This window comes from Homo sapiens, chromosome 10, assembly GCF_000001405.40.
Source record: "Homo sapiens chromosome 10, GRCh38.p14 Primary Assembly".
Taxonomy (NCBI): Eukaryota; Metazoa; Chordata; class Mammalia; order Primates; family Hominidae; genus Homo; species Homo sapiens.
In genome coordinates, this window is record NC_000010.11 from 51,456,391 (window position 1) to 51,471,770 (window position 15,380).

Sequence of the window (15,380 nt, forward strand, 5' to 3'; positions counted from 1 at the left end):
TGGAAGAATGAAACTGGATCCTCATCTCTCACCTTATACAAAAATTAACTCAAAATATATCAAAGACTTACATCTAAGACCTGCAACCATAAACATTCTAGAAAATAACATAGGAAAAAAAAACACTTTTAGATATTGGCTTAGGCAAAGAATTCATGACAAAGAACCCAAAAGCAAATGCAACAAAACCAAAAATAAATAGATGGGACCTAATAAACTAAAAAGCTTCTGCACAGCAAAAGAAATAATCAGTATTTTTTAGACAACACAGAGTGGGAAAAAATATTCACAACCTATGCTTCTGACAAAGGACTAATATCCAGAATCTACAAGGAATTCAAACCAGCAAGTACAAAACCAAATAATCCTATCAAAAAGTGAGCTAAGGACATGAATAAACAATTCTCAAAAGAATATATACACTCTGCCAACAAACATGAAAAAATGCTCAACATCACTAATTATTAGGAAATGCAAATGAAAACCACAAAGAGATACCACCTTACTCCTACAAGAATGGCCACAATAAAAACAGTCAAAAAACATTAAACGTTGGCATGGATGTGGTGAAAAGGCAACACTTTTACACTGCTAGCAGGAATATAAACTAGTATAACCCCTATGGAAAACAGTATGGGGATTCCTTAAAGAACTGTAAGTAGATCTACCATTCAATCCAGCATTCTCACTACTGAAGATGAAAAGAAGTCATTACATGAAAAAGACACTTGCACACACATGTTTATAGCAGCACAATGTGCATTTACAAAAATATGGAACCAGCCTAAATGTCCATCAATCAATGAGTGGATAAAGAAAATGTAGTATATATACACTATGGGTTACTACTCAGCTGTAAAACAAAATGAAATAATGGCATTAGCAGCAACCTGGATGGAGTTGGAGACCATTATTCTAAGTGAAGTAACTCAGGAATAGAAAATCAAATATGGTATGTTCTCACTTATAAGTGGGAGCTAAGCTATAAGGACACAAAGACATAAGAATGATATAATAGACTTTGGGGACTCAGTGGGGAGGGGGAAAGGCGGGAAGGAATAAGAGACTACATATTGGATGCAGTGTACGCTGCTCAGGTGATGGGTGAACCAAAATCTCAGAAATCACCACTGAAGAACTTATCCATGTAACCAAAAACCACTTGTTCACCAAAAACTATTGAAATAAGATAAAATACCAAAAATAAACAGAATTATATAACATGTGGTTCTTGTGACAGACTTCTTTCACTTAGCATATTTTTAAGCTTCATTCACGTTGTAGCACGTATCAGCAGGTCATTCTTTATTATGGCTGAATACCATTCTATATTTTGTTTATTCAGTCATCAGTTGATAAAGCTCTTCTTACGCATTAGTCTACCATCTTCCTTGACTGCCAAATAGAGGATTGTTCAGCAGTTTTTTCTTACCCTCAGTTTTTCCTTATTCTTGAGTCCTCCTTATTTTGTCCTCAATGGTGCTGGAGGACAAAGGTCATCATTCTCTGTCTGGGTAGCGACTTTCAAAGCAAGTCCTCTCACCCCCAACCTGCCCCAGGCCATTTGTATAATTGCTTTTGAGAAAATAAGTTTAAAAGCATTCTTTTTCATCTTATTAAGCAGATGTTTAGTATTTTTTGCAGGGTATGTGGTTATTCTTCATTTTAGTTTGTTCTTTGTTTTAAAACAATGTGCAGGTAGATAAGTGCTTGTTGTACACTCTGGAGAATCCTAACCTCATAAAATGGGAAAAAATACATATATCACATCAAGCGCAGATATTTTAAACTGTCAAGTAACAATTCTCATGGTAGGAAATGTATTATACCACTGGGTGAAGTAAGTTATAGTCCAGAAATGCTTTTAATAAGTGGAGTAGGAGGTTGATACTTTGAATTATTGTTGTTTCTATTTTCTGGATGTTACATGAAATGAAATTAAAATGTAGTCCTAAGGCTTTCACACAAGCATGCTCACAGGAATAGTGACTAACATTTTGACTAACATTCCAACATATTCATCAATGAGTATTTAATAACCCTTTTTTTTTTTTACAACCAGATATGGTATGAATTAAATAACTGTTCCCTCGATTAGTTTATGCTAATATTAACAGAAAGCTTCATCACACACAAAGATCTTTCACATAAATTTTATATATTAATACTGTGAAGCAGGTAGTTATTATTCCCATTGCATTGTTGTAGAAACTGAGAGCCAAAGGTTCAAAGCATCCAAGAGCAGTGAAGCCAGGATATCTGCTAAGAACTTTGTGTATTTTGTTTCCTTTTTCTGCCTAAGAGCCATGACAAAGCTAAACAAATGGACTTAGAAAAAGGACATGTAATCTCTGATTGAAGCAACATCTTGTTGACAGTACAGTTGTCCCTTGAACAACACAGGATTGAGCTTCACGGGTCTACTTATATGTAGGTATTTTTCAACCAAACATGGATCGAAACTACAGAAACCCACACATAAGGAGGAATGACTGCAACACTTGAGTATTCATGGACTTTGATATACATAGGTGTCATGGAACCAATCCCCAGGTATATTGAAGAATGACTCTATTCACTTTCTAATGCCTTGAAATTTAGATGAAATTGGATTTAGTATTCATTTGACATCTTGTGAAATGACCTTAAGATACATGCAAATTCCTGAGTCCTTAGTTTCTCACATTAATATAATTTGCACAATTACTCCAAATCTCCTGCCTTTTAACTTTCCTCATCACTCCTTCATCATATCCTGACCCCTCTATTCTTTGACGTACCTAAGCAGTAGATCTTCCCTCAAGCTTTCATCTTCCCCCAAACCCCTCACACAAGAAATTAGTATGAAACAGACTTTACTAAGAATTTGGAGAGAGGGGTAGGACATTTATTCTGGCAACAAATAATTGAATACTGTATATTAGACATCCTTTTTACCAAGTCTTTCAGTCTCTGAAGTATGAGACTTTCCCACTGGCTTCTTTCTCTGTAACCTCTAGCTTCTTCATTTTTCCTGTATGTTTATGACTCTGCTCTTTTTCCCTTCTAAATTTTATGAACCATGACCTAGAGGCCTGCTTATCCCCACTTAAAACTGCTTCTCAATGTATTTTATTTTTTATAAGAAAGAAAATTTTCTCTTTAAAAACTACTCAACGTATATATTCTTTGTCTTGCTACATGTATTATCTAATTCAGTTATCATAACCCTAGGAAATAAGATACTATTATCCCAAATATGTAGTGAGGTAATCCATGCACAGAGAGTTAGATAAGTTATCTAAGTTTCCACAGTCAGTCAATGGTGGAGCCAGGATCTGAAATTCTCAAGTATGTGTGGAGAAAGGATGTTATTCTAACATCAGTAGAGTGTCTTCATAAGCTTAGAAATTTCTGTAATTACTTCTAATTTCAGGTGACATCTGCTGTGGAAAATTATTCAGTAAAGTAGCTTTGTGGCTTTATTCAATCTGCTGGCAACATGATTTAGTTAAATATGCAACCTGATGCTGCCCTTTTATCTAGGTTGTAATTTACATTTGGTGGAAGTTAATATGATAAATAGTGGAAGTCAAAGTTTTCCCTTGAAATATAGAGTATTTTGTATGCTCATGGATTTTTGTTTACATCAGGACTTCTCAACTCTGGCACTACTGACACTGGGCTGAATAGTTCTTTCTTGTGGGGGCACTATCTTCTGCATTATAACTGCAGCCCTAGCCTCAACCCACTAAATGCCAGAGGACCCCCTGGTTGTGACAACCAGGAATGTTTCCAGATATTACCAAATGTACCCTTAGGGGTAAAATTGCCCCCAGTTGAGATCTGTTACATTATATTACATACTCACCCAAGCTTAATATTAAAACATAACAAAAATAAAAATCACATTAAGACTGCCCACAATTCTGATAGTGATTGTAGTACTCTTGCCATTTTCCTGCCTCTAAGCAATTACGGAAATAGCCATTCATTCTTTAGGCTAATTGAAGGTGCTCATGTATTATAGAAAAAACAATAGAGCAAGAATGTATTATACATTGCTGGAATTAAGCTTAATACACTTGACTTAATTAGGACAATTAAATTATATGTTCAGCTCTCGTTTATTTAGGGGATGATTAGTCTATTTTCCTTTCTTTTTTGTGGGTGCACACTGGATCTATGGCCTGTCTTTAGCTTTCCTCATTACTGGAAATTGAAATCAGTCCACAAACACTTATCTAGTGCTTGACATGTATTTTAAGTGCTAACATTTCAAAAGATAATGCACAGAAAGCTTATGGAATCATGATGCTGGGGAAGGATGTTGTGAAGTCCTTTCAGAATCCTGTTCATTGTCAGATAAATGGTTGACCCATCTACAATAGGTTTAGTATGTTCTCTTTTCCTTAATTATCTTCAAGGACAGAATTGCTGCAATATAAGTTTCTCATTCCAGACTTTCATTCTGATGGTTCAGATGATTCTCTATATCTAAATATTAAAATTGCTTAAATTTCAGTCTGTTTCCTCATATAAGTTTTCTTTGTGAATATGTATGTATGCCTCATGACTTCAGAATCAGAAACAATTCTGAAGTTGAGATACCTTGATAAGTATATTGACTCTTTTTTTGCATAAATGAGATTTTTAGTTTTGGATAGCTTATTTATGTTTTTGATTCACAACCAAGAATAACTATAATGGTTTTAGTTCATATGCAATATGTATTATAATCTGTTGTAATTTAGTATAACGAAAATTGTTTCAAGTGTATTTATAGCAGTCATGACCAGAAGGGAAATCAGATTTGCCTAATCTAAGGAGAAGCAAAGATCTTCACTCATGTAGCTTCAACCTCAACTAGACTTTTCCATCTCACATTGTTTCATTCCATTTGGATAACTAGTGCTTTTGAGCACCCTGTAAGAATTATTTCTATGATGATGTCAAAGAAAAGTGACCTCTTTGAATTAGAAGCTTGGTTCTAACTAAAATATTCTAACAACATGATGGTCTTAGAAACTATGGATACAAAAAGGTTTAGAAAAAAAACCTAATACATATATATGTGTAATGAGAAACCACTAAGCAAGATACATAGCCAACTAGGAGTAAAACAAACTAAAATAGGGCCGTTTCTCACAGGCTTTATTCAATGTCCAAAGAATGATTTTCAAACATCCAGATTAATACTGTGAAGAGTTAACACATCATCTAGGGGGCAAGAGTTCAGATCCAGAGAGACTTTATCTATTCAGATTTGAAAGCAATCTTAAACTGACAACTGATAAGGCAAGGACACACTGCTATTCTTTAATTCAAGAACAAAATTGCATCTCACAGTGGGGTCATCCTTTTCCTTCTTATAGTGGCTTAAGAAAGACATATATAAATGACTAACAAGAAGTACAGGTTTAAGGGAGATATCTAAGTTTATAGTCTGTCCCTGGGAATTGGATGGCTTTTCCCCGTAGGTTGCCCCATGGCAGCCTCATCAATTTCTACTTTCTTACTGGGTGACAGCACCCCCCATCTAAAATGACCCTGCAAGGCAAGTCTGATATAATAGTATGCCTAATCTATTAAGAAAGCAGATCCACAGATGAACCCCATCTCCCAAAGGAAAATACATCCTTGCTGGTGACAGCACAGCTCCACTACCAGAATATTGAAAGTTCCTTTTGAATCTAGCAACTGTAGAAGCCATTATGAAAGAATATGTAATGTAAAAGCCACAAACTCCAACCTACAAAATCATGAAGGTATAGTCAAACAGATTACAGAAGGAAGGAGATAAGAGTTCTTGTCTAGACAAGACCTTTGTTAGAACACCTGGTTCCCTTTAATAGTCAATCAAGTTGTCCTGAATGTTCCAACCAAGATTTCTGGAACTAAGCACAGTGATTATAATTAGGTTATTGCCAGCATTCTATTTCTGCCTGCCAGTAATAAATCTCTAAGCTGATTCTACTTATCATGAAAGTCCTTATGGCACAAAACCAGAGGTTAGTGAAAAACTCATAAGGATAAACAAAGCCGGGAGGTTCTGAGTCTCCCTCTAAACTCAGTTTCTTCCATTATTTATAGGGCCTTATAAAAGATAAACACAGAAGTAGATATGCTATAATGGATCCCTTAATGCTTAACATCTTCCAAGGGTGGTATGTGTATAGTGGTGCCAAAAACCAGATGATTGATTGCTTCTCAAAATGACAAGGTTTAGGACTTATGACTCAGCTCATTCCAGAGCATAAATGGGCATGTGTTACCTGAAGTAAAATTTAAAAGTGCATTCAAGTTACCATGATACATCTTTCAATTATTCATGACAATGCCAGGAGCGATAAAAGAGCTAAATAAAACTATAAATAACCCTTTAAACGTCATTTTAGCCAACTGTTTCAAATCTTCTCTCATACAAACAACTTTAGCAATTTAGTAGAATTCAAATTAAAATGATTTGAATTTTTTTTATATTTCTTCCTTATGAATATGGTGGTAAGAGGACACGATGAAAATTATACCAATCTAGTAATATATTTTTAAAAGTAAATATAAATAGTAAAATGCACAGAAGCAGAATATATAAATTACCACATTTGGGTTATCATTTGTTCCCTTAGTAACAGACCTAATAGCCTCTAGTAACTGTTGGTCTTAGAGAAATTAATAGAAACAGTCTAGAACTTAGTAAGGTGCTTGGAAAACAACTTTCTGATACTCTTGAAAAAGGAGTCTTTGATTTGAAATCTAACATATTTGAAACTGAAACTAAACTGAAGTATTAAAACAATCATGAATAAATGCTAATGAATGTCTTCTGTTTTTTTTTAAAAGAAATAGATATCACATTAATCAATGAAGACCATCAGTAAACTCATCAAAATGCATTTCTAAAGTTAGTAGCAAACTGTAATATATAAAAACCTCCAAACTGAGCTGTTTCTAAATTTGGTGTGTCTCTGGCAAAAGCATGCTGTATATTCAGCCTACCTGCATTTTCCCTATTTGTTTTACCCTCTTTGCCACCTAAATAATAACATATAAGTTCATCTACTTTCTATGCAAATGGAGTCAGTGTAAAACACATCTCAGAGGTAGCCACAGAATGAAAAAGAAGAAAAAAAGACACAACTCCTTAAGGGAGTATAAAACTAAAGGAATGGCCTCATGACTACCTTAATACTTTAAAGGAAGAAAGGAAGTTGATTAGGTGAGATTAGGGGTCACTGGGTGTACGCAGAAAGCTTTTATTATTCTTAGCTTTCTTAGGTGAACCACACATTTATACTTGGAAATCATTTGTAAATGTGTAATCACTTCTAATTTTGCTACAAGACGGGTGAGAGGCCTAGTAAATTAGCTTAACCAATTTCACATATCAGACCAGTAACTCACTAGACTCTTAGAAAATTGGGATACTTCTAAATGTCTCTGAAAGAGCCCTCATTAAAGTATCCAGTGTGTCCTGCCTCCTTGAATTAGCCATTCCTCGTTCACATAACAGGTGTGAGAAAGGATACCAAATTATGACTCCAGGTAACAAAGTACAGACACTGTGTTTTGTTTATCATTTATGTCTTTCTGTTTACTTAAAAAATGCAGTGCTTTTTGGACGGGGTGCGATAGCTCACGCCTGTAATCCCAACACTTTGGGAGGCCAAGGTGGGCGGATCACGAGATCAGGAGATCGAGACCGTCTTGGCCAACATGGTGAAAACCCATCTCTACTAAAATACAAAAAGAAAAAAAAAAATTGCCTGGCATGGTGGCATGTGCCTGTAATCCCAGCTACTTGGGAGGCTGGGAGGCTGAAGCAGGGGAATTGCTTGAACCTGGGAGGCAGAGTTTGCCGTGAGCCAAGATGACACCACTGCTCTCCAGCCTGGCTGAGCGAGACTCCATCTCAAAAAAAAAAGCAGTGCTTTTTGGATCATTCTCATCTATCATATGACATCACATCCCTTACTTTTTTGACTGTTGTGAGTATATTGAATTTCCAGTGTTTAACTTAGCCTGGAAAAGATGTTTTATGTCAAAACTGCTATTTCTCAAATACAATCTGGCTAAGTGATTTTTAGCTATTCCAATTAATGTGAAATACAACCTTTTGTTACCAGCACTGATTATTCATATATACAAATAATTTATATACATATATGTATAATTTATACCTACCTTATCAAAAAAATAAGTTAAACATGAGAAAATTAGGCAAATATAAGATAAGATCAGGCCGGGTGCGGTGGCTCACGCCTGTAATCCCAGCACTTTGGGAGGCCGAGGCGGGCGGATCACGAGGTCAGGAGATCGAGACCATCCCGGCTAAAACGGTGAAACCCCGTCTCTACTAAAAATACAAAAAATTAGCCGGGCGTAGTGGCGGGCGCCTGTAGTCCCAGCTACTTGGGAGGCTGAGGCAGGAGAATGGCGTGAACCCGGGAGGCGGAGCTTGCAGTGAGCCGAGATCCCGCCACTGCACTCCAGCCTGGGCGACAGAGCGAGACTCCGTCTCAAAAAAAAAAAAAAAAAAAAGATAAGATCAGGAAAATAAGTTTGAACCAGAAGTGAGCTTGTGCACAAATTTTAAACTTTGGAGACTTACACAATTCTGGCTGTAATGCCATATGAAAATAGGAAACATAATTTGTTAGAAAATTAATTGTCAGTAAATTGAAACCCATCAGTGTTATATGAGCATGGCTTTTCAGGAAAGAAGTGGCAGTACAACTGAGTATGGTGGTCGTGGCAGTGAAGGGATATTCACTCTTTCCTATGGGGCGAATATCTTATCTTTACAAATTAGTTCTGATGTAATGGGTCCATAGATTTCCTTTAAGAAACCACTGAGCTAAAACAATAGTCCTGATGTTCCTCCTTCTTTAAAAAAAAACTCCAAAACTGTCTGGTAGAATTCTTAGTAGTGGTTTTACTCGCATGGCCCATAGGTTTCTTTCTACTGAAAATGTTTAATTATTAAACCCAGAGAGTCAGAGAAATAGACTTGTACAAATCATTTATTTATGAAAGTTCTTTAGGCTTTATTCCTTTTGCTTTTAGATCTATTAGTATAATTGACACTAGATCTATAGGTCAAGAAAATTTTACAAAGCATTGCAAAATTGTTACATATTATTCTTTGGAGTCTCTACCACTAGGCTGTGAGGGCTGAAGAAACATCAAATGTTGGCCAGACATAGACAAATGGAGAAAAGTACAAAGCCATTGCATTAATCTAGGAAGATTGGTATGATTTTCTGAGCTTCTATTTTCTTCTTTGGATGTGATCTAAAAGGTTCTCTCCTCAACCCCCCATAGAGAGGGAATCTGAAAACAAATTCTTTCTCCACTGGGCAAGGGGAAATTAAAAACCTCTATTACCCTATATTGTTCTTGGTTAGTTTCTGTAGTAGATGATGGAATATTATGCTTCAATGTCATCTAATAAATCATACCTCCATATAAATTATAAAGAAATTATGCCAGTGATAAGAGCAAGCATTTATTAAGCATTTGCTATGTGCAGGGCACTGTGTTAAGAATTTTACCTGCTTTATCTCACTTAATTTTGACAATCATCCAATGAAATAGGTGCTTTTATTGTATCTATTTCACTGAGGCAAAGAGAAGTTAAGCAATTTGCCCAAGGTCATAAGGCCAGTAAGGAACAGAAAAGAGAACCAGAACTAAACTTTTGGTCTATCTTTAGATGATTTATAAATTTTTTAACCTCTGTGTGGTATTCTGTCCTGTCTCTCATTCTTGAGTGGTAGATGAAATTTCTAGGGGCATAGGTTTGCCACTGAAAAAAAGGAAGGAAAATGCCATGGGAACTATCTGAAGCTTATGAAAAGATGAATTTACCGGACTGATTTTGATGGGGAAGAATTTTCTTTCCTACAGTCAAGAAGTGAACCATGAGAAAGCTAGAATATTTGGCCGTACCTGTGTAAGCAAGTCTTTTTAAACCTTTTGAGTTGTTGAATTTGTTCATTCCTGACTAATTTCTTTACATACAGAGGGGCATGCATACACCAGTCAAAAATAATGAGGAGATTTTTATGGATTTTTATTCTAATTACTGCAGAATTCTCTCTTCATTGATACCATTTATGTGAAATGGTTTTCAGGGTAGGATAATGTCCTCTGAAGGGTGAATCACGTACCACTAGTATATGGATTAAACTTAAAATTTAAAATATATATATTTAAGATTTTATCTCCATAGTATTTGAAAATAATTAATCAGCACATTAAACCTCAGTTGTTACAAAGATTATTGCCTAGATAAAACCAGGTTGATTTTAAAAGGGAAGGAGTGAATTTAATGTCAATACTCTAAAAGGTTAAATATTGCAGGTAGCACACAAATAAAGGAACAATTATGAAATCAAAGTATAAAGGCCTGAAGTTTGGCAAACACTGGAGGAACATAGTTCCTTTCAAACACAAGCTAACTCTCTTGCCAGGCATTAAGCTTCTCTTCTGTAGACTGTGGATAAATAACTTGGAGAAAAATAGGAGAGGAGAAGTCAGTCAAGAATGGATTGTGTTGCCTTTTTATTTCTATCTTGATTGTGTTAGGCCATGAAATTCTTAGTCTACATAGGTATGACTTTCAAAAATATGTATTTTTTTCATTTATCTCATGAATAACATTTGTTTTACTTGCAGGTAACAATATATACCCAGTATGTGGTGTTGCCTTAGCTTTTACTTCCTTTAGCATTTCATTTTCCAAGTCCTTTATCAAACATAAACTGTCATAACACAGCTTTCTTTTCCCTCAACCCTTGTAGTTTGTTTTTTCCTACAGTTAACATTGCAGAGCTAGGAAGCAGATAAGACAGTCTTGGCCAAGTCAGGCAAGATGTTTTAAATAAAAAGATACCATGAGCAGAATTAAATAATGGCAAAGGGTCAAAGTAATTCCCCTCTTCATAATAGCTGCCTTACTAATGAGAATTTTCAAGTATGAAGTGTGCTGTAGAAAATGTACCACTTACTCAAGTTTTCTTTCAGATTCAAAATTACGTTAAAATTGGAATTACTGTGGTTTACTAATAACAGATTTGGAATAATATTATGTTTGCCTGTTTGTCTCTATATTTTCTTGTTGTTTCTTTGGATCTCATATCAAATCTTTTCAGTAGTAAATTTAAGAAAATATGTACTTTTCTTAACTTCCATATTTTGTTTTATTTCTTGCGCTGCCTCGTGGTGACTTTGTTTTAATTGGTAACTGCATTTTTACAAATGAGCCTAACACTCCTCTTCACATTAAAAATGCAACAAATGAAGCATGAGAAATAATTTATATAACATGTTTTTCCCTCCTCCTTTTTAGATGGTAAGGTTGAAGTTACAAAAGAAGGTGTGAAGTTGTGTACCATGGGTCCAGGAAAAGTGTTTGGGGAATTGGCTATTCTTTACAACTGTACCCGGACAGCGACCGTCAAGAGTAAGACTATTTTCATATTTTTAAAATATTTTCAATGTCTTTTCCCTAGGCCTTTGAGATGTTGTTTAAAATGCCCATTCATTTAATCTTTATACTTTTATTTCTTTGTATTTTAATTTTTGCCCTGCAATATAGCTGATGTATTTGTTTTCCTACTAAAGGTGATTGTTAACAATCAGTTTTGTATAATTACATTTTCTTGCTGACTTCTGAAAATTATCCTTTAATCAATAACTTCTCATAATTAGGATTTTTTAAATCATATAATTTTATACATTTGAATCAAATAAGAGCAAGTCCTTTTCTCTCTTTATAGTCTCAGGATCATATTTAAGAAATTTTTACATGTCTGTCTATTTTGGGTTATATTCTTCACATAAATTCCACTTGTTTACTCAGTGGTTTAGAAAAATTAAGAGAAGAAATGTCCTTCATCTCATTCAAACATCATTGAGTAAGATATCTCCTGAATTCTAAAACTGCATCTGAGTATATTTTTGCCCTCAGCTGCTCATCAAGCTGTATATTATAGCATTTATCTTTTCTACTGATTGAGCTTATTTTAAATCAGGGCAATAAAGCAGCTTGTTTCCCTAATTTTACATGTATGTGTATATATGATTTCTCTAGCAACTTTTATTGCTTGGCAGAAGCAGCTGCAATAGTTAGAAGGAAAAAGATTTTTTTAAAAAAAATCTGCTTCCTGAATAAGTATATAATGACTGTATAACAAACAGAGCTGAATTCAAAAGTCAACAATGTAAGGTTCATTGCATCTTTAGGCAAACGTGTGTATTTCATGTTTGAAAAGTCCTTCTGACACATTTTCCTGTGGTTGATTTCAGTCACAGATTACTTTGATTAGGTTTTGTCATTTAAAAAAAATGCTATTGGCAAAATGACAAGTACATTGTGAATTTCAATTAGTTTTATCTGGATCTCGTTGACTACTTTTTGTATTAGTTTTTTCCTTCAGAAGTACAGCATATAACTGAAAATACAACAATGAAATTGGATTTAAAAAAAACATAAGAATGCACGGCCAACTGGAGTCCCAGAAATTGTCTTATACATCTTATTAGTGAAATCACCTTTTTATTCATTGGATTCACTGTAACACCAATTGCAAATGGGCCCCTTTTAGGATGAGTCTTCCTTGGCAGTTGATTCTTGATCTCTGAAAGCATAGGACTCTTTTGATTGATAGATGCTGCCATGTTTTTACTTCAAGTGATCATTCAATTACATAGCTCAAAGAATGAGACTCAGTGAACCATAATAGAATCTGCCACAACTTTTAACTTACTTAAAAAGAACCTTAACTATAGAAAGAATAGTCATGGCTCCATTAAGTGAAACAATTTTTACAATCATGCTTCATTTTCATGAGAAATATATTCCTTTTAAGATAAAAAAGACCAGAATAGCATATTTTGATGATATCTCAGTATTATAAGTATTTTTTTGTTTTGAAGTATTTAAAATTTTTAAATATTTCAGGCTTGTACACTGCTTGATACTTTAATCTAATTGAAACTACAAAATTTCCAAAAGCCAACAGTTGGTAATAACATGGTAGTTAATCTTATGAAACATGGAATTTTTATTAAAGAAATATTTTAAGTAGTTTATTTACATGAATTTTACAGCAAAGATTTTTAATGAAATGATTTGTTTGCTTCATAAACATCAGTTTTCTTATTAGAGTTCTATATAATGATGTTCGTCTGCACTAACATCTATTGTACTCTGATTTGGCAAATTTAAATAGACACTGTGAATCTAATTCAACAAGAAGAAACTAGATGTTGAATGCAAATTATAAGCCTAACTCTTTTGGGGTCAGAACATCCATCTTCAAAGAAAATGAGTAATGGGACATGTTCTTCTTTAACACAGACTCAGAGAAAGCTCAAGAATGCATCCGTGCATGTGTGTGTGTTTGTTTCTTCACAGTGCCTACTTAAGATATAAAAGTTGTGTTGACAAAAGAGCCTAGAGTTGGTGATGTGCAAATATATATCTGCATTTATAGGTACAGAGGTTTTGTGCATGAATCAGAAACAATATCTGTGCGCAACTGTTTCTTCCAAATGTTTCATAAGCACTATGAAGCATGAATAATGTTTGTTTATTGTTTCAGGACTTTTTTGTCCTGCCACCTCTGCTATCTAGGGAGATTGTACTTGTGACTGTAGGCCTCAAGCACCATTTTTTTCTATATATTTAAATTAAACCTTCAGGCTGGATATGTTATGATTCTAATTAGATCACATTGTGGATGCTACTTTTACAAAATGACTATGTAATATAACTCCCAATGCTGTCTTATTCTTTACATGTGATAAAAACATGTCTTCAAATTTATTTGGTTTTTAAGGTTCATTTATTTCTTAGTATTCAAGATTATATCAACTTGTCCATATTTTCCTGTCGTCATGTCATTTGGAGTATCAAATGACAAGAGTATTGACCATTTTGAGTATCATTCAAAATGGATTCATCCACTTGGGCGTAATAGTCTAATTCTGAGGGGAATATTTTTCTACACAATAGCTGACCTATCCATGCTTCTTCTTTCTTACATACCTCGGCTTTTGACCTCCTTAACCCTAACATCACCCACTTTCCTTCATGATTGAAAATGTTGATGATCCTTTCTCTTTTCTATTTTCCTTGATTAGCCTGAAAGTTATCTGGCATCTTAATGCATTTTTATTTTCACAGTGGTAACTAAATCCTAGGTAGCATTCAATAGTTTTTCAATGTACATTACTTGTTTCCTGTTTAGGAGAGCAGTTTTTACAATTGTATCAGGCTGTTAATAAATACATTTCAGTGACTTCATCAGCTAATGAATATGATCAGTACACCTGTGGATTTTTTCTAAGATTAGGTTATCAAGAAGTAGTTTTCTTACTAAAGCTCTAGATTGACATATGCTATAAAATATGATTATGAGCTTGTTCATAGTGATCCAACAGAAGGAAGCACCATGGTAGTTTGAAGCAAGCTCTTTGGTTTTCATCTGGGAAAAAATAAATTGGCATTCTTCTGAAAATAAATAACATTTATTTTCAGTGGTTACCACGATAGCACTAGGAGGAAGATCTGATAGCACCAGGAATAATATTTTTAAAAAATCAAAACCACAGTGATATAGAAAGAAAAAAATCGTGGTATGATTCAGATCTATATTCATAGTCTGCTCCTGTCTTATAAAATAACTATTGATTTTTCCCTGAGGAATGAAGAAATAAAAATATATAAAATTAACATTATATTGGAAACAAAAATTTAACAACAGTCTTGAGTTTGTTCATGGCTTAATAGCCTCAAATTTTCTTTATTAACTGTGATCTGAAAATGACCACTTTGTATCTTTCCAATCACAAACATTCCCAATGGCATGGGGATGGGGAAAGAATCGCTTGTTATAGTTGGTTTCCACAGTACCAATTAATGTTTTCAGTATTGTTTGATTTTTTTAATATTTTATCTAAATATTTTGAAATTGTATAGTGAAAGGAGTTTTGCCATCCGTTTTCAACCCCACAGGGGCAAGAATGTCTCACATGTTGTTTGAATACCCCTTACTTACTCAGTTCCCACACCTGGAAGCAGATCATTATCACGTTTTCCTAAAGTGTCACTCCCGGGTGTGATTTCACTTTTACTACCCTCACAGCTATAGCAATATCAATTTGCACTTACCCTGGGCCTTGCTTCTGTGCCCAAAGTTCTTCAAAATAACAAAAATGGAGAAGTTGAAGTTACTGGAAACTTAAAAGGAAAAGGCGTTTCATTTACAATGAGAGGGATTCAGTGACACATGTTGAACTCAGAGTACTTTTGCCTGTAAACATTAAATTGAAGCCCTACTTCTCTTACTTTGAGTTTCAGCTCTCAGTGCCTCCAGACCTTTGGTCATGTA

The 15,380-nt window shown here is 34.5% G+C and overlaps 1 protein-coding gene across 5 annotated transcripts in view; it reads left to right on the forward strand.

The window, feature by feature from the left end:
• Positions 1–15,380, forward strand: part of PRKG1 (protein kinase cGMP-dependent 1) — a 1,307,463-nt gene that overhangs the window by 465,503 nt on the left and 826,580 nt on the right. For all 5 annotated transcript variants that reach the window (NM_001098512.3, XM_017016413.2, NM_006258.4 and 2 more), the window contains exon 3: positions 11,333–11,446. In NM_001098512.3, the coding sequence (NP_001091982.1) occupies positions 11,333–11,446 (114 nt within the window). The remainder of the gene's footprint in view (positions 1–11,332; positions 11,447–15,380) is intronic.